We start from the raw sequence: 21412 nt of genomic DNA on the forward strand, positions 1-21412 counted from the left end.
ATTGCCACCAGCGCGTCCGGGCTCCACAGCGCGCTCGTCCAGGGCGCGGCAGCGCTCAGCCCAGCGCTTGGCACAGTCAGTGACCACAGGGAGGAGAAAGTGAAGGCAGGAGCGCACCTTCCCACCTGCCGTCCCCGTCCCCTCAGAACCGAGTCCTGGGGCCACCTGCTCGGCGCGGTCCCTCTCTCTCTGGCTCAGTCCCCCCACCCCGATACGTCTCCTCCTCTCAGAGGCTCCGAGGAAGGGCGTGGGCGCTGGAGGGAGCAGGGCTCAGCCGGGTGCCCCTCCCGCCAGGCCCCACCGGGGCTGAGCCTCTTCTGTCGCCCGCAGGAGACAGAACTCAAGGTGGAAGTACCGGAGTACCTGGGGCCGCTGATGTTTGTGAAACTGCGCAAACGTCACTTCCTTCAGGTTCTGCAGCTGGATCTCCGTGTAGGGCCCCGGAGCCGGGGACGAGGTCAGGTTCCCTTGTTACCGCTGGGTGGAGGTCGACGGCGTCCTGAGCCTGCCTGAAGGCACCAGTAAGCGCGGGGCTGGGGGTGTCAGGAGGCCTCTGGGGTGCGAGAGAAGCTGGGGGGATGCGCGTGTGGAGAAGAGGGCGCAGGATGGGGGTGCTGGAACCTGGAGCGCAGGGCTCTTTGGGAGTGTCGAAGGGGCTGTGGCTGCAGCTGGCACAAAGTGGCTGGAGCCTGGGGGAGGGGCGTGATGCTGAAGAGGCAGGGGTCACACAGAAGGACGGAGTGATGAGGCTCTCCTGGCAGGGGCGAGAAGAGGCGCTCACCAAAAGTCACTGGCCAAGCCCTCCTCTGGCCTTCTAGGCCGTACTGTGGGCGACGACCCTCGAGGCCTGTTCCAGAAACACCAGGAAGAGGAGCTGGAAGAGAGAAGGAAGTTGTACCGGTGAGCCCTCCTCCCCTGACCCCACGTGAGCTGCTGATGCTTCCAGCACCCACGCCTGATTTCCTTCCTGCCCTACAGGTGGGGAAACTTGAAGGATGGGTTAATTCTGAATGTGGCTGGGGCAAAACTATGTGACCTCCCTGTGGATGAGCAATTTCTGGAAGACAAGAGTGTTGACTTTAAGGTTTCGCTGGCCAAAGGGTGAGAGCAAGGGGAGGCTGGGTGAGAGGGAGGTGTCCTGGTCTAGTGGAAGCCAAGGGGCTTATGGGCTGCACTGCACTGCACTGGACCGGCTCAAGGTCGGTGCCTGTGGCTGTCATGTTGGAGTCTCAGAATGATGCTCAAACCCTTTGCCCCATTCTGTCCTGAAGGCTGGCCGACCTCACTATCAAAAACTAAATGTTCTGACGCTGGGCATGGTGGCTCACGCCTATAATCCCAGCACTTTGGGAGACTGAGGCGGGCAGATCACGAGGTCAAGAGATCGAGACCATCCTGGCCAATATGGTGAAACCCTGTCTCTACTAAAAATACAAAAATTAGCTGGGCGTGGTGGCACGCGCCTGTAGTCCCAGTTACTTGGGTGGCTAAGGCACAAGAATTGCTTGAACCCAGGAGGTGGAGGTTGCAATGAGCCAAGATTGCACCACTGCACTCCAGCCTGGTGACAGAGTGAGACTCCATCTCAAAAATAAAATAATGTTCCGACTTGCTAGAATGATCTGAATGACTTCAACCAGATTTTCTGCTGTGGCCAGAGCAAGCTGGCTGGTCAGTCCCCCACCCCAATATGTCTCCCAGGACGCTTACCCCCAGATCCCACCCAACCCAGGGGAATTGAAAGAAGCAGGGTGGGGAGACCAGAGACTTGGGTCCCTCTGGTGGGCTGGAGTCAAGGGGGCATGGTTGGTGGGGTTGGAAGGACCAAGAGCTCAGATCCCACAACTTGCTCAACAACTGCCTTCCCCAGAGCGCGTGCGGGACTCCTGGAAGGAAGATGCCTTATTTGGGTACCAGTTTCTTAATGGCGCCAACCCCGTGGTGCTGAGGCGCTCTGCTCACCTTCCTGCTCGCCTAGTGTTCCCTCCAGGCATGGAGGAACTGCAGGCCCAGCTGGAGAAGGAGCTGGAGGTATGGACATCAGAGCCCTGAGGAAGCTCAGCAGTGAAGTGGGGTGGCCTAGTGCCAATGATGCTGCTGCGGGACCCACTGTGGGCCTGGCTTGCTGCCAGCCAGCAAGGACGGATTCTGCAGGAGAGGTCCTGAGGGACCCTGGAGAAGCTCAGCTGCTCGGCCTCCTTCCCACACGAGAGTAGCTGTGGAGGGAGGGCGTGCAAGATGGAATGGTTGATAGAAACAGGGTCAAATGAAGAAATGTGACTGGCCCCTGGTGCTAGGGATTCGGGGAGTGTGCAGAGTAAGAGAGTCAGGATCAGAGTGCTGTGGCTGTTCATCAGGAGGCGATATGGAACAACAGAGAGGAAATTCATGGGATTAAGGGCAGATAGGCTTGGATGTGAATCCTGGTTCTGCTATTTGTAAGCTGTGTGACCTCAGGCAAAATACCCAGCCTCTCTGATTATCTGTTTCCTCTTCTGTGCAACTGAGGCTCGTTCAACTAGGTATAAAAATTATAAGGCTGGGCACAGTGGCTTGCACCTGTAATTCCAGCACTTTGGGAGGTCGAGGCAGGAGGATCACCTGAGCCCAATAGTTGGAGACCAGCCTAGGCAACGTGGTGAAACCCTGCCTCTACAAAAATACAAAAATTAGCACCTGTAACTTTTGGTGTAGTGGCATGCACCTGTAGTCCCAGCTATTTGGGAGGCTGAGGTGGGAGGATCACCTGGGCCCAAGGAAGTCAAGGCTGCAGTGAGCCATGGTGGTCCCGCCATGGCACTCCAGCCTGGGCAACAGAGTAATACCCTGGCTCAAAAAATAAACAATGATATGAGGCAATAAGCACATGATCCATTACCTGGTACAAAGTAGGTGATGGAGACAAGTTAGCTTCTCTCTCTCTCTCTCTCTCTCTCTCTCTCTCTCTCTCCTCTCTCTCTCTCTCTTCCCCCTTGGAGGAATCCGAGTGGGAAGAAGATGCTTTATGTTGATAGCAGCCTTTGACCTCTTCCTGCACCCAGGGAGGCACATTGTTCGAAGCTGACTTCTCCCTGCTGGATGGGATCAAGGCCAACGTCAGTCTCTGTAGCCAGCAGCACCTGGCTGCCCCTCTGGTCATGCTGAAACTGCAGCCTGATGGGAAACTCTTGCCCATGGTCATCCAGGTGAGAGGACTCAGGATTTCTGCTCCCAGTCTCCAGCCTTCTCAGCTCAGCCCCTTATCGAAATGCACTAAGCACCATCTTCAAAGGCGCTGGGCTAAGGCACCAGGGAGACGCGAAAGGAGGAAATGCGCCAAGTCTCTATTCGAAGGCCTTGCAATGTAGCTGGAGAGACACATAGGGCTAGTCTGCAGAAGCTCCGGGACTGAGGAAGTCCCGGAGGACAGAGACAGCCCAGGAGGGATCGGGGAGTTGGGATGTCACCAGCCTTGGAGGAGGGCCAGGTCTCAGACAAGCAGGAGGGAGAGGAAGGACCAGTCCTCAGGGGCAAGACAGACTGGGCAGAGGCTAAGGTAGAGGAGTCAGGAGATTCCTAGGGGACAGTTGGACTGGGGCCAGACTAAGCCAGGCTAAGGAGCATGAAGTGGGAAGCTGGAGAAGGCTGTGATGAAACATGCTATAGGCACGCGGTGTGGGCAGTGGTGTTTAGGGTGGGTTGGAGAGGGGAGATGCTAGAAACAGGGACTGGGGCAACATGCCCCAGCACTGACCCCAGGAGGAGGGGAGCTCGGATATGGGTAGTGACCGTCGGGATGGAGAGGACCGGTGGATGCGAGTGCAGAGGGAGATGAAGGAGAGGGGAAAGGGGAGCCAGGCCAGGTGCCTGCAGAAATAGCACCAATAAAGAGAACAGGGTGCCCAGGTAGACTTTTGTCTGGCCAATGTTGAGGTAACGGGAAGACATTTAAATTGTCCAGCAGGCAGCTGAGAACAAGAGATTCAGTCATTTGTGTAGAGGTGGGGCCAAAAGATGAGATTTCGAAAAACAGTGTGGGATGGAGGAAGCAGGTGGTTTGAATCTTGTCCACAATGCGGGGACTGAAAGGGGAAGTGGAGGCTGGAGGAGGCACCAGAAGAGCAGTTTCTGCAGAATGCTGGAGGCAAAGCAGCTTGCAGGGTGCTAATGCACTGAGCTGGTAGGAAGGGGAGGGGAGGAAATGGGAGCTGTAGGGAGAGGCAGGAGTGGGATGGGGAAAGCAGAACAGGTTTGGAGGACGAGGTTAACATGCAAGGGGGGCGGGAATCGCTGAGTGCCGGGCACTCATGCCTTCTCTCCCCACACTTGTCCCTGCTCCAGCTCCAGCTGCCCAGCACAGGATCCCCACCACCTCCCCTTTTCCTGCCCACGGATCCCCCAGTGGTCTGGCTTCTGGCCCAATGCTGGGTGCGCAGCTCTGACTTCCAGCTCCGTGAGCTGCAGTCTCATCTTCTGAGGGGACACTTGATGGCTCAGGTCATTGTTGTGGCCACCATGAGGTGCCTGCCGTCGATACATCCTATCTTCAAGGTAACACCTTATCCCCTTCTCTCCTGTATTCAGCTGAATACTTGATGGGGACCTTTGTTTCTCTAGAGTTCTCTTTCTGTACAACACCCTCAATTTCAGCATGCTGCCCTGTGAATTCTGGCTGTATTGGCCTCCCAGTACTGCCAGCTCTCTCTGTCCCCTTAACTCAGGAAGATGATAGGACTCTGCCAGGGTTGCTCCTCCCTACTCTGCAGCTGGAAAGCTTTCTCCAGGCAGTAAGCTGGGGCAATTGTGGGGCCCACTTGTGTCTGTTTCTTCAGTTATTTCAGGCAAGAGGGTAAATCCAGTTCCTTACTTCACTCCAGCTGGAGGTCTCCTCCTCATTATTTTATATACGTTTTGTGGAAGATTAACTTTACAATTTAGTTTTTAGGTAACAGAATATTCAGACAGGACTGCGACTCCATTCATGGAGTAATTATCGTAGCTCAGAGATGAATATTATTACTCTCTCCCAGAGACGGATGCAGTGACTTTTGGGACTTTGTGTGTCTCTTTTCTCAAGGAGAGACTAATAGCATCTTTATTTCTATGAAGAATAGTTGCATTGTGTTAGATAGAAAAGAATATTTTATTTTATTTTATTTTATTTTATTTTATTTTATTTTATTTTATTTTATTTTATTTTATTTTTGAGACAGTCTCACTCTGTCAGCCAGGCTGGAGTGCAGTGGCACAACCTTGGCTCACTGCAACCTCTGTCTCCCAGGCTCAAGCAATTGTCCTACCTCAGCCTCCCAAGTAGTTGGGATTACAGGCGTGTGCTACCATGTCTTGAACTCCTGACCTCAGGTAATCTGCCTGCCTCAGCCTCCCAAAGTGCTGGGATTACAGGTGTGAGCCACCACGCCTGGCCCATTTTTTCTTTTGAGTATGGAAGTTTAAATATAAATGCTGATTAACCAATAGAACTGACTGTGGGAGTTAGGCTTCGCCCTTGGCTCCAACCCTCTACCTTCTAAAGTCAGCTTCCTGTCTAAGGCTAGGTCTCTGCAAACCATATTCCTGCCTTCTTACCTGGCTCCATGTCGAGCTCACACCAGTAACTAATTCACCCTGGTAGCAGATGTTCCTTCCCTTAGTGGCAGCTGAATCCACGTTGCAACTTTCTAATGTTTGAAAAAGCTGCTTTATTGCATCCCTGCTCAGAATACCAGCACCAGCCAACTGGCACCCCTTATCAAAAGTCTGAGTTTCAGATCTCCAGGGTCCCTCCTCCAAGTTTCTGAAGTTTTAATAATTCCAGGTTCTGTTCTTTCCTGTCTACTGGTAGGGTAGAGCATCCTTTCATACGCTTATTACCCCTGTGGGTTTCTTTTTCTGTGACTTCTCTATTCATATCTTTGCTCGTTTTGCTTCTTTCACGTCTTTTTCTTACTTGAGTCCTTTAAATATTCTGAAGACAAATTCTCACTTATTTGCATTGCAACCATATTCTCAAAGTTTTTGGCTTGCCCCCATCCTTTAATTTTTTTTTTAATTTCAGAAGACAGTTTCTCAGCTTTCACCATGTGCCTTTATCTTTCCTGGTTTCCATCTCTGATTTTATTTTATAATGGCAACAATGTGTTTCTGTCTTAATAAAGTGGTCCACCAGGATTGCTATCCCAGTGGTTTTTAAACTGCAGTCAAAACATTAAAGACTGGCGAAATCAATTTAGGGGGTCCCAGTCAGCATTTTAAAAAATGAAATAGAGTAGAATAAAACATATCAGTAGAGCAATATCAGAATACATCACACTGTTTAATAGGAAGGAAGGAAGGAAAGAGGAAAGGGTAAGAAAGGAGGTGGGTTTGGACAATTTATTTTATTATTTATTTATTTATTTTTGAGACAGAGAGTCGGTCTATCACCCAGGCTGGAGTACGGTGCCCAGCGTCTGCCTCCCGGGTTCAAGCGATTCTCTTGCCTCAGCCTCCCGAGTAGCTGAGATTACAGGTGCCCAACACGCCCGGCTAATTTTTATATTTTTAGTAGAGACAGGGTTTCACCATGTTGGCCAGGCTGGTCTTGAACTCCCGACCTCAGGTGATCCGCCCTCCTCGGCCTCCCAAAGTGCTAGGATTACAGGCATGAGCCACCGCGCCTGGCCAGGTTTGGACAATTTAGTTATGACCCAGTGTCAAAGTTTTTATTACAATGTTGCGGCAAGAAATGAGGCTTTTGCTAAGTCAATTCAACAAGTGTCTATAGGTAAGGACACTTTACAGGAAAAGAGAATGACTAGATAATCATTGTTAGACTGGATACAAGAAAAAGAAAGAAAAGTTCTAGTTAAGGATTATTAGATTTATTAAAAGACAGTTAAAGGCCCTTGGATTCCTTCCCTCCAGGGTTGATATTAGCTGTGTACATAGGTAACTGGTTTCTAACAAGAGGTCATAATCTCATTAAAATTCATCAGAAAGTGGCTTAAGCATTTAATCAGGCATACAATTGATTTCCAAGAAGAGTTTTGTGGCTTATATTCCCAAAACATCCTTGTCCCAGCCAGCGTGTGGGACAATCTTTTATTTTACAGTGTATATATTTTATGAAAACTTGTATTTCACTACATATGTACCATATCTTGAAGCAAACTTTATTTTTGACTGTGTCACTGTCAATGAGGTTTGAAAAACACTGCTGTTCTTAAGAGCTGAGATCCAATCAAGGCCTCAGGAATTCCTGGGGTCCCTAAACCTGTCCTTGCCTGTAGTAAACCTCTCTATCTCTGCAGGCACCTAGGGGAGGTTCTCCTGGATGTCTTCACAGACATCCTGCATAGCTGTTAAACTCAGAAGTCTATCCATCCCACGTCTGCTTTTTGCCATATAAGATTTCATTTGCAAAAGGGTCCCAATGCTAATGATCTTTGAACATCATCAAGCTAATGTAATCCCATTGTTTTACTTTGAGGAAACTGAGGCTCGGAGTGAGAACACCTTGCCAGTCGCATGGCATTTGGTCCACCTGCAGTTGTACTGCCCCCACCAGTCTACCAGAGTAGCAAAGATTTCACCAGTAGGAACTCATGTATTTAGTGTTAATGGCCTGTCCACATTTCCCTTTAAAAAGACCAGGAGAGGCTGGACATGGTGGGTTATGCCTGTAATCCCAGCACTTTGGGAGGCCGAGGCAGGTGGATCACAAGGTCAAGAGATGGAGACCATCCTGGCCAACATGGTGAAACCCCGTCTCTCCTAAAAATACAAAAATTAGCTGGGCGTGGTGGCACATGCCTGTAGTACCAGCTACTTGGGAGGCTGAGGCAGGAGAATCACTTGAACCCGGGAGGCAGAGGTTGCAGTAGGCCAAGATCGCACCACTGCACTCCAGGCTGGTGACAGAGCAAGACTCCATCTCAAAAAAAAAAAAAAAAAAAGACCAGGAGATAAGGGCTAAGTAATTAAATTTCTCCTTAGTGTATATTCATTGATCAGATTTTTTTTTACCAAGGCTACTTCACCCATTAGTCATGATAGGGTATAGTCCTAAGGCCTGTGAATTGTTCAAGGGCCTACAAAAATGGCTGAGGCCCAAAAAACTCGTTGCCTTCAAAATACAAAAAGAAAACAAAATTGAAATTAATAAGTGATATAGTTTGGATACTTGTTCCTTCAATCTCCTGTTGAAATTTGATCCCTGGTGTTCGAGATGGGACCTAGTGGGAGGTATTTGGACCATGGGGGCGGATCCCTCATGAATGGCTTAGTGCCATTCCTGCAGAATTGAGTTCTCACTCCTGGTTCCAGCGGGGGATATCGCTGCTAAAAACAGTCTGGCAGCTCCCCTCTCTCTTGCTCTTTTGCTCTCTCCCTGTGATGCCTGCTCTCCTTCACCTTCCATCATGAGTAGAAGTCCCCTGAAGCCCTCGCCAGAAGCAGAGGCTGGTACCATGCTTCTTGTACAGCCTGTAGAATTGTGAACCAGATAAATCTGTTTTCTTTACAAATAACCCAGCCTTGTATGTTCCTTTATAGCAATGCAAAATGGACTAAAACAGTAAGTCCCAATGTGCATAAATTTTAGTATGTATCATATGATATGGATCAGGATCTCCAAAAATAAGAATGTGTATGGTCTAGGAAGGTCTCAAAATGGCTCTTTCAAGGTGTCTATACACTGATATCCAGGCTCCAAGGAGATGATAGTGTGGAGCCTTCTCTCTAAAAGTCCTAAGACTGATAGATTCAGCACAGTATTTGGCCCGGAGTGGCCTGAGACAATACATTTCTTTCTTTTAATTTTATTTTTTTTGAGATGGAGTCTTGCTTTGTCACCGAGGCTGGAGTGCAATGGCACCATCTCGGCTCACTGCAACCTCCTACTCCTGGGTTCAAGAGATTCTCTTGCCTCAGCCTCCTGAGTAGCTGGGATTACAGGCACGCACCATTACACCCAGCTAATTTTTCTTTTTGTTTTGGTATTTTTAGTAGAAACGGGTTTTCACAGTGTTGGCCAGGCTGGTCTCAAACTCCTGACCTCGGGTGATCCGCCTGCCTCTGCCTCCCAAAGTGCTGGGATTACAGGCATAAGCCACCGCCCCTGCCCCAAAGTGTTGGGATTACAGGCGTGAGCCACGGTGCCTGGCTGGTAAACATTATTTCGTGAAACTTTTTTGTTTGGAATCGCAGTGTAAAATATATTTCTGGGAGTCATGGTCAAAAGAGTTGGAGAAAAGTGCGTCTCTAAGTTTTCTCCCAATTAGTGCCCCCTCTTGAGTTCCTGGCCATCTGTTAAATGTGTGCCATGACAGACGATGGACAGTAGAGGGCAGACAATCCCCGCACAGCAGCAAAGGCTGGACTTCGGAGGAGTTGGAAACCACAGGCGAATGCCAAGCAGGACAGAAGCCTGAAGCCAGGCCTGAAGCTTCTGAAAGAGACAGGGCACACGTACCTGGTCCTCCTAGGCATCGCAGCACTCTCTGTGTGATATAACTGCAGCCACTTTCCAGTCTCCATCCACAGGCTGGATCCTTGTCTTTGGATATTTTTCACCTCCCTGGGAGTACTTCCAGGTGTCTAGTTACTTTTAAACCAAGGTCCTGTAAAACCATCTTTGTTCCGTCACCCAGGCTGGAGTGCAATGGTGCGACCTCAGCTCACTGAAACTTCCACCTCCCAGATTCAAGCGATTCTCCTGCCTCAGCCTCCTCGAGTAGCTGGGACTACAGGTGCGAGCCACCACGCCCGGCTAATTTTTGTATTTTTAGGAGAGACAGGGTTTCGCCATGTTGTCTCCAACTCCTGACCTCAGATGATTCTCCTGCCTCAGCCTCCCAAAGTGCAAAGGGATTACAGATGTGAGTCACTGCACCTGGCCTGGCACTTTAATATCGTAGAGCAGAGAACACACACTGAGCTCTCAGTCTCCCCCAGGCACTGTTTGCAGCACTCTACATGTACTAACTCATGCACTCCTCACACCTAGGTGAAGTAGGTCAGGACACTGAGGATTGAGAAGCTTAGGTGACTTACCCAGCATTCCTGGCTAGGAAGAAGCAGAGCCAGGATCCAAACCCAGGCTAGCTGGCTCCGGAGCTTATGCTCTCAACCAGCAGCCGCTGTTGGTACAAGAGGAATAAATGCCTAGTCTTCTACCTACTGTATCTACTCCTAAGGATACTGAGGGTGTGATGTGGTCGGGAGAAACCCTGGAGGCCATCAGAAGAGCAGGGGATATTCAAGCCTAAGATGGGAAGAATGGGTAGACACCACTTCATTCTGCTATCTGAAGGGCTGTCTTTGTCAGAGGCAGCCTCAAGAGCAGAACTAGAATCAAACGGTGAAAAGCTAGGAGGATTTGGGCTCAGAAAAAAAAAAAAGAAAGACTTTAAAAAATGTATTATAAAATCTGGCCGGGCGTGGTGGCTCACGCCTGTAATCCCAGCAATTTGGGAGGCCAAGATGGGTGAATCACGAGGTCAGGAGTTCAAGACCAGCCTGGACAAGATGGTGAAACCCCGTGTCTACTAAAAATACAAAAATTAGCCGGGTACAGTGGCAGCTGCCTGTAATCCCAGCTGCTTGGGAGGCTGAGGCAGGAGAATCGCTTGAACCCAGGGGACGGAGGTTGCAGTGAGCCGAGATCGCACCACTGCACTCCAGCCTGGGCAACAGAGTGAGACTTCGTCTTAAAAAAAAAAAAAAACTTTATTCTACAGACAAACATAGGAAGCCCCATTGAAACCCCAACACTGTGCCACGTCTGTGTCAGATCTCCAGGGAAAACATTTCTCACAGTTGAGCCAGCCCTGTGGCGGTGAGCACTCTGTCTTCTAAAGCAAGAGCAGACAAACGCTGGGCAACCACTGTGGGGGAAGGTGCCACAGAGGGCATTTAGCTTGGCGTCAGACAGGAAGCCTGGGGGGTCCCAGGTAGCCCGAGTTTGAGGGGGTGGGAAGGAAGCAGTGGGAAGTCCCTGGGTTACATCTTCCTCCTTGAAGTCTTTAGCTTTTCCCTCTCCTCCTGGTCCCTTGCCTAGGTCAACAAAAATGTCTCATCTCCCCCTGCCCTAACTGGACTCCCATTTCTCTGCCTCTTGCCCACCCCTGCACACCCTAAGCCATTATTCATTTTATTTCCCAGGCTCTTCAAAGAGCTCTCTACCCTCGCTGCTCACACGTCCCCGTCCTGATCGTTTTTCCCTGCCCTTGCACTGCAACCTCACCAAATCTGTCCTTCCCAATGTAACTTCGTGCTGTTTCCCCTTCCCAATCCAATGGCTTCTTCTCGACCCCCAATTTCTCTGACCTTTCCGTAGCATTTGGCTCTGGGGACAATTCCCTCCTCATCAAAACTTTTTCCTCTGTTGTTCTCCGTAAGCCTGAACTCTCTCTCCCCCTCCCCCCACACCCGGCAAATGTCAGTGGTCCCCAGAATTCTTTCCTCCGCCTTAGCTTCTCACTTTGCACACTGCCCCGGCGCTCACATGGCAACCGCTGCCTGACTGCGGATGTCTCTCTCGCCCAGGCCTCCGTCCTGAGCACCAACCTCTCACAGGCTGGGAATCTTGTTCTGGATTAATTAGTTTCATTTTTGTTGTTGTTGTTGTTTTGAGATGGAGTCTCGCACAGTTGCTTGGGCTGGCGTGCAATGGCGTGATCTCGCTCGCTGCAACCTCCGCCTCCCGGATTCATGCGATTCTCCTGCCTCAGCCTCCTGAGTAGCTGGGATTACAGGTGCACACCACCATATCAGGCTAATTTTTTGTATTTTTAGTAGAGACAGGGTTTCACCATATTGGCCAGACTGGTCTCGAACTTCTGACCTCGTGATCCGCCCACCTTGGCCTCCCAAAGTGCTGGGATTACAGGTATGAGCCACCACGCCTGGTCAACCTTTTCTATTTCTCTATAGCGCCTACTAAAATGGGACTTGATATTATTTATTCATTGCTTAATTGTTTATGATCTATGTTCCCCACGGGAGAGCAAGGACTTTGACTTGTTTACTCCTATATCCCCAAACCTAGAACAGCGTCTGGCACAGAGCCAGCATGCAGTAAGTGTTGGTGGAAGGAATAAATGAAGGAATGAAGGAATGGTCGGGATGAATTTCTTGCCTGTGGTTCACTGATGAGAAGCTGGGGAAGGCTGAAGCAAACTCACACGTGCCCCTGACCTCGGTTGCTCCTTCTGTCAGATAAACTCCTGTTTGTCCTCAAATTCCTGCTCCATTTCCACCTCCCCAAGGAGACTTGCCTAGTCCTTGACTCTGAGCCCACTTCCTGGGTGTTCTCGCTCCCCACCGCTGCTGCCTGTTTTTACAGCATCCATGTGGTCACTCCGTGAATGATTCTTTGTTGTTTCCTCCTGTCTCTCCCGTGAGATTGAAAGCACATCAAGGGCAGGCCTGTCACAAAGCCTCTTTGTGTTCTGTAGCTATGCGTGGAGCGAATGAACAAGGTTGGGCTTGTCTGGACCTGGGCACGGTCACTGAATGTTCTTGGCCTCTGTAAGGAAGGGCATCCCCTTGGCAGTTAGCAGGGCAGGCACAAGGGGCATAGCATCCCCAGAACATGATGAAGGGCACCTTTGAAAAGCTAGAGAGGCTTTGGATAGAGCTGGAATTGTCTGGTGACATGTGCTCATTCATACTACATGGTCATTATACTACGTGGTCTTAGAATATGTCAAATTCTCACCTTTTCATCCACCCACAATTCACTGAGTTCCCGTTCAGTGCCAGCTTCTGTGATGGGTAATAGTGGTGGGAAACATGCAGAACTGGATGATCAAGTTTAGAATGAGATCGTGCCTACTGTCGGAGCAGTCCAGGAGGGGTGACCCCAGGATCCCTTCTTCCTTTGCCTTCCATCTATTCTAAATTGTCTTCAGCTGGTGATGCACCAGCTGGGCATCCAGACGTCAGCTGGCTTAAACAGACCGCTGTGCTTGCAACAAGCAAGACACTTCAGAACTTGCAGAATCACTGCATCCCTTTCTTAAACCAAGACCCAACCCCACCATCTCTTTCTTTTCCTTTCTGGTTTGGCCTCTGTAGGTGTGACATCAGAGACACACCTCAGCGGATGTGACTCAGTGAGCACCATTCAGACTCCCCAGGGCCACTCCCATGAGCTGGCCAGGTGGGCAGGCTTTGCTGAGCCTGTCTCCCCACCGGTCTGAGGTCTGCAGATTAGGCTTCCAGACAGGGAGCGGCAGGGCAGGCCCCTCAGTGGGAAGACAGGAGTGTCTGTATGGCCAGCCGGGAATCAAGAACCATTCACCCTCCACCAGCAAGGGTGGGGCTGCCCTGAGCTTTCAGGCAGCTGTTTTATGGAATTATTAATTTTAATGTACAGATGGTTTTATTTTCTGCTCATTTTCACATATTCTAAGAACCCTTAAATGTTATACTATATAGTCTTTTTTTTTTTTTTTTTTTTTGAGACAGAGTCTTTGTCACCCAGGCTGGAGTGCAGTGACGCAATCTCAGCTCACTGCAACCTCCACCTCCCGGGTTCAAGCAATTCTCCTGCCTCAGCCTCCTGAGTAGCTGGGATTACAGGTGCCTGCCACCACATCTGGCTAATTTTTGTATTTTTAGTAGAGACGGGGTTTTGCCATGTTGGCCAGGTTGGTCTCGAACCCTTGACTTCAGGTGATCCACCCACCTCGGCCTCCCAAAGTGCCAGGATTACAGGCTCAAGCCACCGCGCCCAGCCTATAGTCTTAATATTCCCTATTTTAAAAAATATTCATGGCGGCCATACTAGAGCCCCCGGGATATAGCGGAGAGCACTGCCCTCATGGTCTTTAGATACACGTCTTTCATGGTTCTGTTGAATGACTTCCTTACAACACATTCCCAGGAGCAGAATTACCACATTAAAAGGTATGAACATTTTTATAGCTCTGGAAGCGTATTGCCCAATTTCTCCCCTAAAAAGGTGGTGTTAATTTACACTGCCACTGGCAGTGTGTGTAAGCTGGTTTCAGCACAGCTTCAACAGCATGAGACATTATAATTTTGTTAATGTTTGCTAATTTCATAGGTGTGAAATGAATGGCACATCAGGGGGACTTTAATTTGCGTTCCCTGGTGATCGTGAGGGTGAGCCTGTTTGGAGGTGCTGATGTGCACAGTCTGCCTAGTGGGGGCCTCTCCGCCCTGTCTCAGGCACTGTCTGTTTCTCAGCCTGTGTCTCCCCACACCTCTGCCTGCCTCCCGCCGACTGCTGTTCTTACTGTCCCTCTAAGCCTGTCTGTCTCAGTGTCTTAGCCTCTGATTCCTCTGAGTTTCTCTGGTTCCTAACTGGCCAGGTGTGGAGCTGGTTCATGGAGGTCCTAGCCAAGCCCTGACAAGCTGCAGTCTAGAGGCGGGGCGCAGGGTTCTGGGCACAGGGCTCCAGGCTCCTGCCTCCAAGGGCTCCCTCCCCGGGGAGCTCCCTTTGTGAACTCACATGGTGCCCTGCCCTTCCTTCCACCAGGGCCTCACCAAAGGCCCCTTTCATTTCTCCAGGTAGCCTCAGCTGGGCTGACCTGCTCGATTGGATCCAGTGATTCTGAGATCCCAGAAGTAGCTGGGAGTGAGCAGGCTGTCCCTCAGTGACTCCCTCTTAGGAAGTGTTCCAGAAGCCCCACCCTCAGGACAACTCACCAGACAGTGTTGTGTGTCCTGGCCGTTGGGGGTGTGTGGTCTGAAAGAGCCAGAAAGTGGTGTCCCCAAAGTCCAGATGTGTGGACAGTAGACAGGTCCACAGAGGTGACAATGGCGCCGCCTGCCTACCTTCTCCAACGAGCCCCTTACCTGAAGTGGCAGAAAGAGCTCACCTCTCAGGCCAAACCCCACTTGGCACCAGGTGGACGGGGGGCCACCGAGGCCCCATGGTTTAGCAGGGTCAGAGTGGGGCTGTCACCCTGCCCACTTTCAATGGCGTGGAAGAGTCTTCAACACTTGGGAAAGTTTCAGAAAGACTCTAGAGAGGCAGCTGGCTTCAAGGGAAGGCTGTGTGGATGTACTTGGCGAATCCTCATGATCAGTGAGTTGCTGACTCCGGGCTCTGGACCTGCCCTGTGGCTGCTTGTCTTTGAGGCAGGTCTTGAGGGCTCTCTGCAGTCACCTCTCAGGCCCTGTGGGTGGTCCCAGCCTATTAGAATCGTAGATTGATACCAGCCAGAAGGGAACTCTGACATCAAGTTCTCTCTCTTTTTTTTTTTTTTTTTTTTTTTTGAGACGGAGTCTCTCTGTGTCGCCCAGGCTGGAGTGCAGTGGCGTGATCTCGGCTCACTGCAACCTCCACCTTCCGGGTTCCAGCGATTCTTCTGCCTCAGCTGCCCGAGTAGCTGGGACTACAGGCGTGCACCACCATGCCCGGCTAATTTTTGTATGTTTTAGTGGAGATGGGATTTCACCATGTTGGCCAGGCTGATCTCAAACTCCTGACCTCATGATCCACCTGCCTCGGCCTCCTAAAGTGCTGGGATTACAGGCATGAGCCACCACGCCCGGCCCTACCCTCTCATTTTATTTAACATTTTAACGTTAAGCTTTTAAAAAATTATACAAATAATGCATGCCTGTTTCTAGGATATTTGGAAAATACAGAAAACTATAAAGGAGAAAATATTAATCCTTCTATCCGTTCATCAAAGATAACTGCTATTCTATTTCAATATCAACCTTTTCTGTGCTCGCATATTTTTATTATCACTACGACCATACATTATACGTGATTTATTTACCTCCGATTATATGCATTTTCAATATAACGAAATATTCTTTAAAAACACTGTTAATGACTGCATAATAGTCTTTTGAGCTGACACACCTTAACTAATATTACCTAAATGTCAGGCATGTATGTTTTCAGTTTTTCAAGGATATAAAAATATACCAAAGTAAACATCTTGGGACAGGCGTCATGGCTTACACCTGTAATCCCAGCATTTTGGGAGGCCAAGGTGGGCAGATCACTTGAGGTCAGGAGTTTCAGATCAGCCTGGCCAACACGGTGAAACCCCGTCTCTACTGAAAATACAAAAATTAGCTGGGCATGGTGGCAGGTGCCTGTAATCCCAGCAACTCAGGAGGCTGAGGCAGGAGAATTGCTTGAACTGGGAGGGGTGGAGGGGTTGCAGTGGGCTGAGATCACGCCACTGCACACCACAGCCTGGGGGACAGAGTGAGACTCCATCTCAAAAAAAAAAAATACTGGGTGTGGTGGCTGACGCCTGTAGTCCCAGCTACCTGGGGACTGGAGTGGGGGAGGCTGAGGTGGGAGGATCACTTGAGCCCAGGAGGCAGAGGTTGCAGTGAGCCAAGATCGCCCCACTGCACTCCAGCTTGGGAGACAGAGTGAGACTCCGTCTCAAAAACAAAACAAAAAATACTAAAGTAAGCATCTTTATGCATAAATTTTTGTCCACAATTTCATTTTTCCCTTAGCTTAGATTCCTACTCATAGGGTATAGGCATGTTTTAAGATTTCGCATGTGTATTTTTATTTTACTTTTGAGAAAGGTTGAACTAACACATGCCCATCTCGCCACACACCATCAACTACACCAAGAAATATCATTCAAAGAAACATCGACTAACTCGAAAGACAGTATTTCTGTTGCCTCCTTTCAGTGATCGGTCAGCTAAGTCTTGGAGAGGAAAAGGGACATGACGAGGGTGGTTCTAGGAGTGTGTTATTTCATTCTGTCTTCACAGCAACCCCATATAAATAGCAAGAAGTGGAGGAGCTAAAGCACGCAGATTAAGGTTAAGGAACTTGCCTGGCCGGGCACAGTGGCTCACGCCTGTAATCCCAGCACTTTGGGAGGCCGAGGCAGGTGGATCACCTGAGGTCAGGAGTTCGAGACCAGCCTGGCCAACATGGTGAAACCCCGTCTGTACTAAAAATAGAAAAATTAGCCAGGCATGGTGGTGTGCACCTGTAATTCTAGCTACTCAGGAGGCTGAGGCAGGAGAATTGCAGGAGAATTGCTTGAACCCAGGAGGTGGAGGTTGCAGTGAGCTGAGATCGCGCCATTGCACTCCAGCCTGGGCAAGAAGAGCGAAACTCTGTCTCAAAAAGAAAAAGAAAAAGGAACCTGCCTGGACTCACATTCGGTTACTAAGAGTTGGAGCCCGAGTTGGAGCCTGTGCCGTTGGGCCCCAGGGCCCTTGTACTTCATGTCACCTCCATGCCACAGCTCCTGTTCCCAGCTGTGATGCTGGAATGTGGATTGGAACCAAGTCATAAAGAAACTTGGAGTTTGGATTTACCCTATAGACAGAGAGAGGCCCTTGATGGGTCCTTAAGCATCAAAGCTGGGTTTTACAGAGATGTTTCTGGTGGACTGGCTTGAGGGAGACAGGAAATAGGGAGGTCAGCTGGGAAACGCAACATACAGATAATGCGATTGACAAACAGGGCTCGCACGGAAGCACACGTGCCTATGGTTGTGGGAAGTGGGCAGTTGGGAATGCTGAGGGTCTCAGAGGCCTCCCACCATGCCCTCTTCACTGAGCAAAGGCCATTTTTATCTGCTACACGTCAGGCAAAACCTGCGCCAACTGCCAAAGCCTCCACCTCAAATCTAGCAAATAAGAGAGAGGACGGTATGGATTACGTTATATTTAAAACAAGCCCACACAATGCCTGTAATTTTTCATTCTGACTCCGTAATTATAACTCAAGACCAGTCAGATCATAGTTATCCCCACACCGACCTGCTGTTGGGACACATGGAATTAAAGGCTTTGCTCCCTTCAAATTCTATTTTGGAGGCCGAGCACTGGCAGGTAACGGGCCTTTCTCAAGGCCCGTCTTGTTGGAGCCCCTCCCGGGGCAGCCTCCACGAAGGCCAAGTCAGCACCAGGGTTTCGGGAAGACCACGGATGGTGTGGGAGCAGTTGAGATGCTACCGCTTTGCCCGACCTGAGCCCTGGGCCTCGGGGCTGAGCCAGGGGCCTGGAAGCAGAGGTGAGCACCGTCCTTGGACCAGACCTTGGGCAGGTCTATCCCAGAGCATCTGCACCCTCGAAGATTCCCAAATGCTGCTCTACCCTGGACCTGACCAGGGTCCCAGGGTCAGATGGGCCAAGCCCTGGTTGTCCGGCACACTTGTCACAGACAGGCTGCTATTGCCCAAAGGGGCCTAAATTCAGAGAAGAAGAAGAAGAAGAAAAACATCCAAGGAGTGTGAAGGGGCCAGGCTTCCATGGACAGCCTGGCTAACCAGGCCTAGGCCAACTAAGCTTTTCTTCCAGTGTGAGCACCACCCCTCAGCCCCACAATGGCACCCTAGACAGAGCCAGAGTGGGACTGGCTCCCTGCTCGTGGACCTGGGTTACCAGCAGGAGTCAGGAGGGCCAACTGCCCTTTCTCCACACGGCCCTCCCAGGCCCAGTCCCACCTCCCCATAGCCTTGCGGGGGAGGCAGAACAGCATCCTTTCATCCAGGCGCTTCAGGACCTGCTCTATCCAGGCCCTTCATGCACCATCTCATTTACTCCTCCCGTCACTCTGCCAAGGGGGTGTGGTTAGTGTTATCACAATTTCCAGTTGAGACATGAACAGATGGAGCTCAGAGAGGTGGCATGACCGAGGCCACTCAGGTCATAAGTGAGGAGGTCAGAGCTGGGACTGAGTTGTCCTAACATCCCTGGACCACACAGCGCATCCACAGGCAACTGGCCCGAGACCGCCAGGCCTGCTCCTGGCTGTGCCTCAGCAATTCCTTGGTGGTCCCATGTTCTTGGGCAACTTGCTGAGCCCTTAGGCCTAAGGAAGCTCAGGCCCAGTGCCTGTCTCCCAGCCCCCCTCTTCTCCTGGTGCACATTGCACTGCTCCCTTGCCTCAGCCACACCAGAGGACGAGCCCACTCCCTGCACAGGGCCTTGTTCTCACGTCCCCACGTGGATGGTTCCCTCTTCCAGCCAATGGTGCATCTTACACATGCTTCTGTTTTAACCCTCAAGACATTGTGCTGTTACTATTCTTATCACTGTCTCCGGCTAGACTTCTCAAGGGAGGACCTGTGTCCTGTCTCTCTGTTGCTAGTTTTATGCATAGCATGTAGTAGGTGCTCAGTAACTGTTTGCGCAAGAAAAAAACAAGAATCTAGAAAACTCCCATTTGTCTTTAAAACTCTGCCTAGAATAGATCCGATGAAGACTTTGCTGATTCACACAGACCAAGCTAACCCCATTTACTAGGCTGTATCCTTGAGGACAGGGACAGAGCTTGATTCTTCTCTGTGACCCCATCTCTCAGCACAGAAGAAGCGTCAACCAAGGGTCAGTAAATGTAGAACTGAATTGCTCTTTGCAGTTGCACACACACACACGCACACGCACACACATACTGCACACTGCTTCAGCCCCGGATTAAGGGCATCATGACCTGAACCAGCCAAGTGCCCATGTTATTGGGCTGAAACCACCCCAGGCTGAAATGCCAGGGATGTTTGCTAAGGAAGAAAACACTGAAATCCTAACTTTAAAAAAAGAAACACAGTGAATAGGTGTTCTATTTATATGAAAATCAGGTCTGTTTTTAGGTAACAGCCCTCCCATCTCACCTCCCCAAGGTGGGTCCTGTCCTTGCACCAGTTCCTTCTACACCCCACCCGGTAATCACAGCCCTACCTGCCCCACCTCCTCTCCCCTGTTTGCTCTCTGGGGTTTCCCTCGATTGCAGGGTTTGAGCTTCCAGACATCACAGGGGCCTGTCTCAGACTGGCCCCTTCCCTCCCTCCCTGACGCTGGAGTTAGTGAGAAGGAGGCCAGAGCCAGGGCTCTGTGAGAGGAGAGGGGGCAGGCCGGGAGTCAGTCTGTCGCAGGATCTGTCCCTTACCTGATCCAAAGCACAGAAGATGGATGGCTGGTGCACAGAAGGAGCTAAGCCCTGCTTCTCCCAGGCCTCTGTCAAGCCAGCAGGGTCCCACTCCTTAGCTCGGATCATGCACAGGTGCCCCATGGCGCAATGCAAAGAGCAGAGGCTTTGGAATCAGGGTTCCAGTCCTGGTCCTGCTCCTCCATTTAGACAAACCCCTGCAAGCCTCAGAGTCCTCAGCAGCCAAAGGGGGCGTCAGCTGCAGAGAAGACCCACCACGTCACACTGTGGGGCAGGGATGGCACAGGACCAGCCACTCCAGCAGAGGAACTGTTTGTGGAACCCAGCAGGGAAAGAAATTCGACTTTGAGAGCAGCAGCTTTGGCAGCTTAGAAATCATCTGGAGGCTTCCCGTGCACACATTAAACCTCAAGCTCCAGGTAGCCCAGCCCTGGTTCTGTAAGCGGCCAGATAGGCCCACCCAGGCTCTTGGCAGCAGGGGAGGAGCTGGTGGCTCTGAAAACAGCACTGGCTATGGCACCACAGGGGCCAAGAGGACTTTGTCCCCTGGCTCCTGCTCTTTCTCCAGCCTCAGGACTCCCTCACCTCCTCCGTCCATTCCCTTGCCTTCAGGAGTCCCACTATGGCCTGAGGAGCATCCCGCTCTCTGGCAAGGTTCTGCTCCTGCTGGAACACCAGATTAGAGCAGGGGTGCCAGGGGCCCCTCAATATGCTGGCAGCTCCCTCCAGCCTCAGTCAGGTTCCAGGAAGAGACCAGGGCAAGCCTGAAGCTGCGGGCTGGGCCTCACCATCCTGGGAAAATTCTGAGCCTCCCTCACAGCTCAGCACTCAGGCAGGCACCCAGCAAACCACAGCTGTGGTTTCCAGAGAGCCAGGCCTCCCACCGCAGGGACAGTAAGCTGAGAAGCGCTGTAGCTATAAATGTGAAGTGGCGAACCGCGGGACACTGCCGCAACCCAGCAGCGGGCGGGAGCCTGCTCCCAGCCTCCCTGCAGGGCCAGCCCACCAAGCCTCAGACCTGCCCTGTCCACGAGGTCTCTGGGCTCTGAGCAGAGCTGTTTTCTACACCCCACCCGGTATTCTCCCATGTGGCCGCATGGAGGGGGTACCCGAGACAGTGCAGGGAGAGGGGCAGGCAGGACCCTACATAGCATTTTCTCCACAGTCAATGGCGCTGGTCTCCTCACAAGCACAGTCTTGTTTTCTGTTGACTTATGCAAGAAGAGGGAGGGGGCCACATAATCATTTTGGTGCTTGGTGCTTCTAAAAGTCTTACTCCTTCCCTGGGTGGCACCAGGTCACAGCTACAGCCCCATCTGGAGGGTGCCTTGGGGTGGACCTGGGACTCGTGTGGTCCTGGTAGGCATCCTCAGAAGCACTGCAGAAAAGGACAGCGTGGGGAGGAGCCGCAATGGCTGACATGAGCCCCCAGAAGCTCAGAAGGGTCACTGTGCCCATTTCACAGGCAAGGAACTACACCCAGCGAGGAGACCCTGGAGCTCAGCTGTGCCTCCCGGTCTCCCAGACACTCCTGCACTGTGGACGGGGGTGGCCCATGTGGAAGAGTCAGGAAACAGAGGA

General features: G+C 51.1%; 1 pseudogene across 1 annotated transcript, besides 4 other annotated features; it reads left to right on the plus strand.

Moving 5' to 3' along the window:
* Window positions 74-710: an enhancer, noted in NCBI's record as "H3K4me1 hESC enhancer chr17:6560276-6560912 (GRCh37/hg19 assembly coordinates)". NCBI's record gives its function as "activates a minimal SCP1, AML or CMV promoter by ChIP-STARR-seq in primed H9 embryonic stem cells {active_cell/tissue: H9 hESC(primed)}" and the evidence as "EXISTENCE:reporter gene assay evidence [ECO:0000049][PMID:30033119]".
* Window positions 485-534: an enhancer, noted in NCBI's record as "active region_11590". NCBI's record gives its function as "activates an Ori minimal core promoter by ATAC-STARR-seq in GM12878 lymphoblastoid cells {active_cell/tissue: GM12878}" and the evidence as "EXISTENCE:reporter gene assay evidence [ECO:0000049][PMID:35858748]".
* Window positions 836-4499, plus strand: ALOX15P1 (arachidonate 15-lipoxygenase pseudogene 1; annotated as a pseudogene). The gene is made up of 5 exons (NR_045985.1): window positions 836-900; window positions 979-1101; window positions 1871-2031; window positions 3042-3185; window positions 4321-4499. The product of NR_045985.1 is annotated as an arachidonate 15-lipoxygenase pseudogene 1 (transcript).
* Window positions 13308-13462: a silencer, noted in NCBI's record as "fragment chr17:6573510-6573664 (GRCh37/hg19 assembly coordinates)". NCBI's record gives its function as "represses an EF-1alpha promoter that drives an FKBP-Casp9 reporter gene in an ReSE screen in K562 erythroleukemia cells {active_cell/tissue: K562}" and the evidence as "EXISTENCE:reporter gene assay evidence [ECO:0000049][PMID:32094911]".
* Window positions 19867-20627: an enhancer, noted in NCBI's record as "H3K4me1 hESC enhancer chr17:6580069-6580829 (GRCh37/hg19 assembly coordinates)". NCBI's record gives its function as "activates a minimal SCP1, AML or CMV promoter by ChIP-STARR-seq in primed H9 embryonic stem cells {active_cell/tissue: H9 hESC(primed)}" and the evidence as "EXISTENCE:reporter gene assay evidence [ECO:0000049][PMID:30033119]".

This window comes from Homo sapiens, chromosome 17 (assembly GCF_000001405.40).
Source record: "Homo sapiens chromosome 17, GRCh38.p14 Primary Assembly".
NCBI classification, from domain to species: domain Eukaryota; kingdom Metazoa; phylum Chordata; class Mammalia; order Primates; family Hominidae; genus Homo; species Homo sapiens.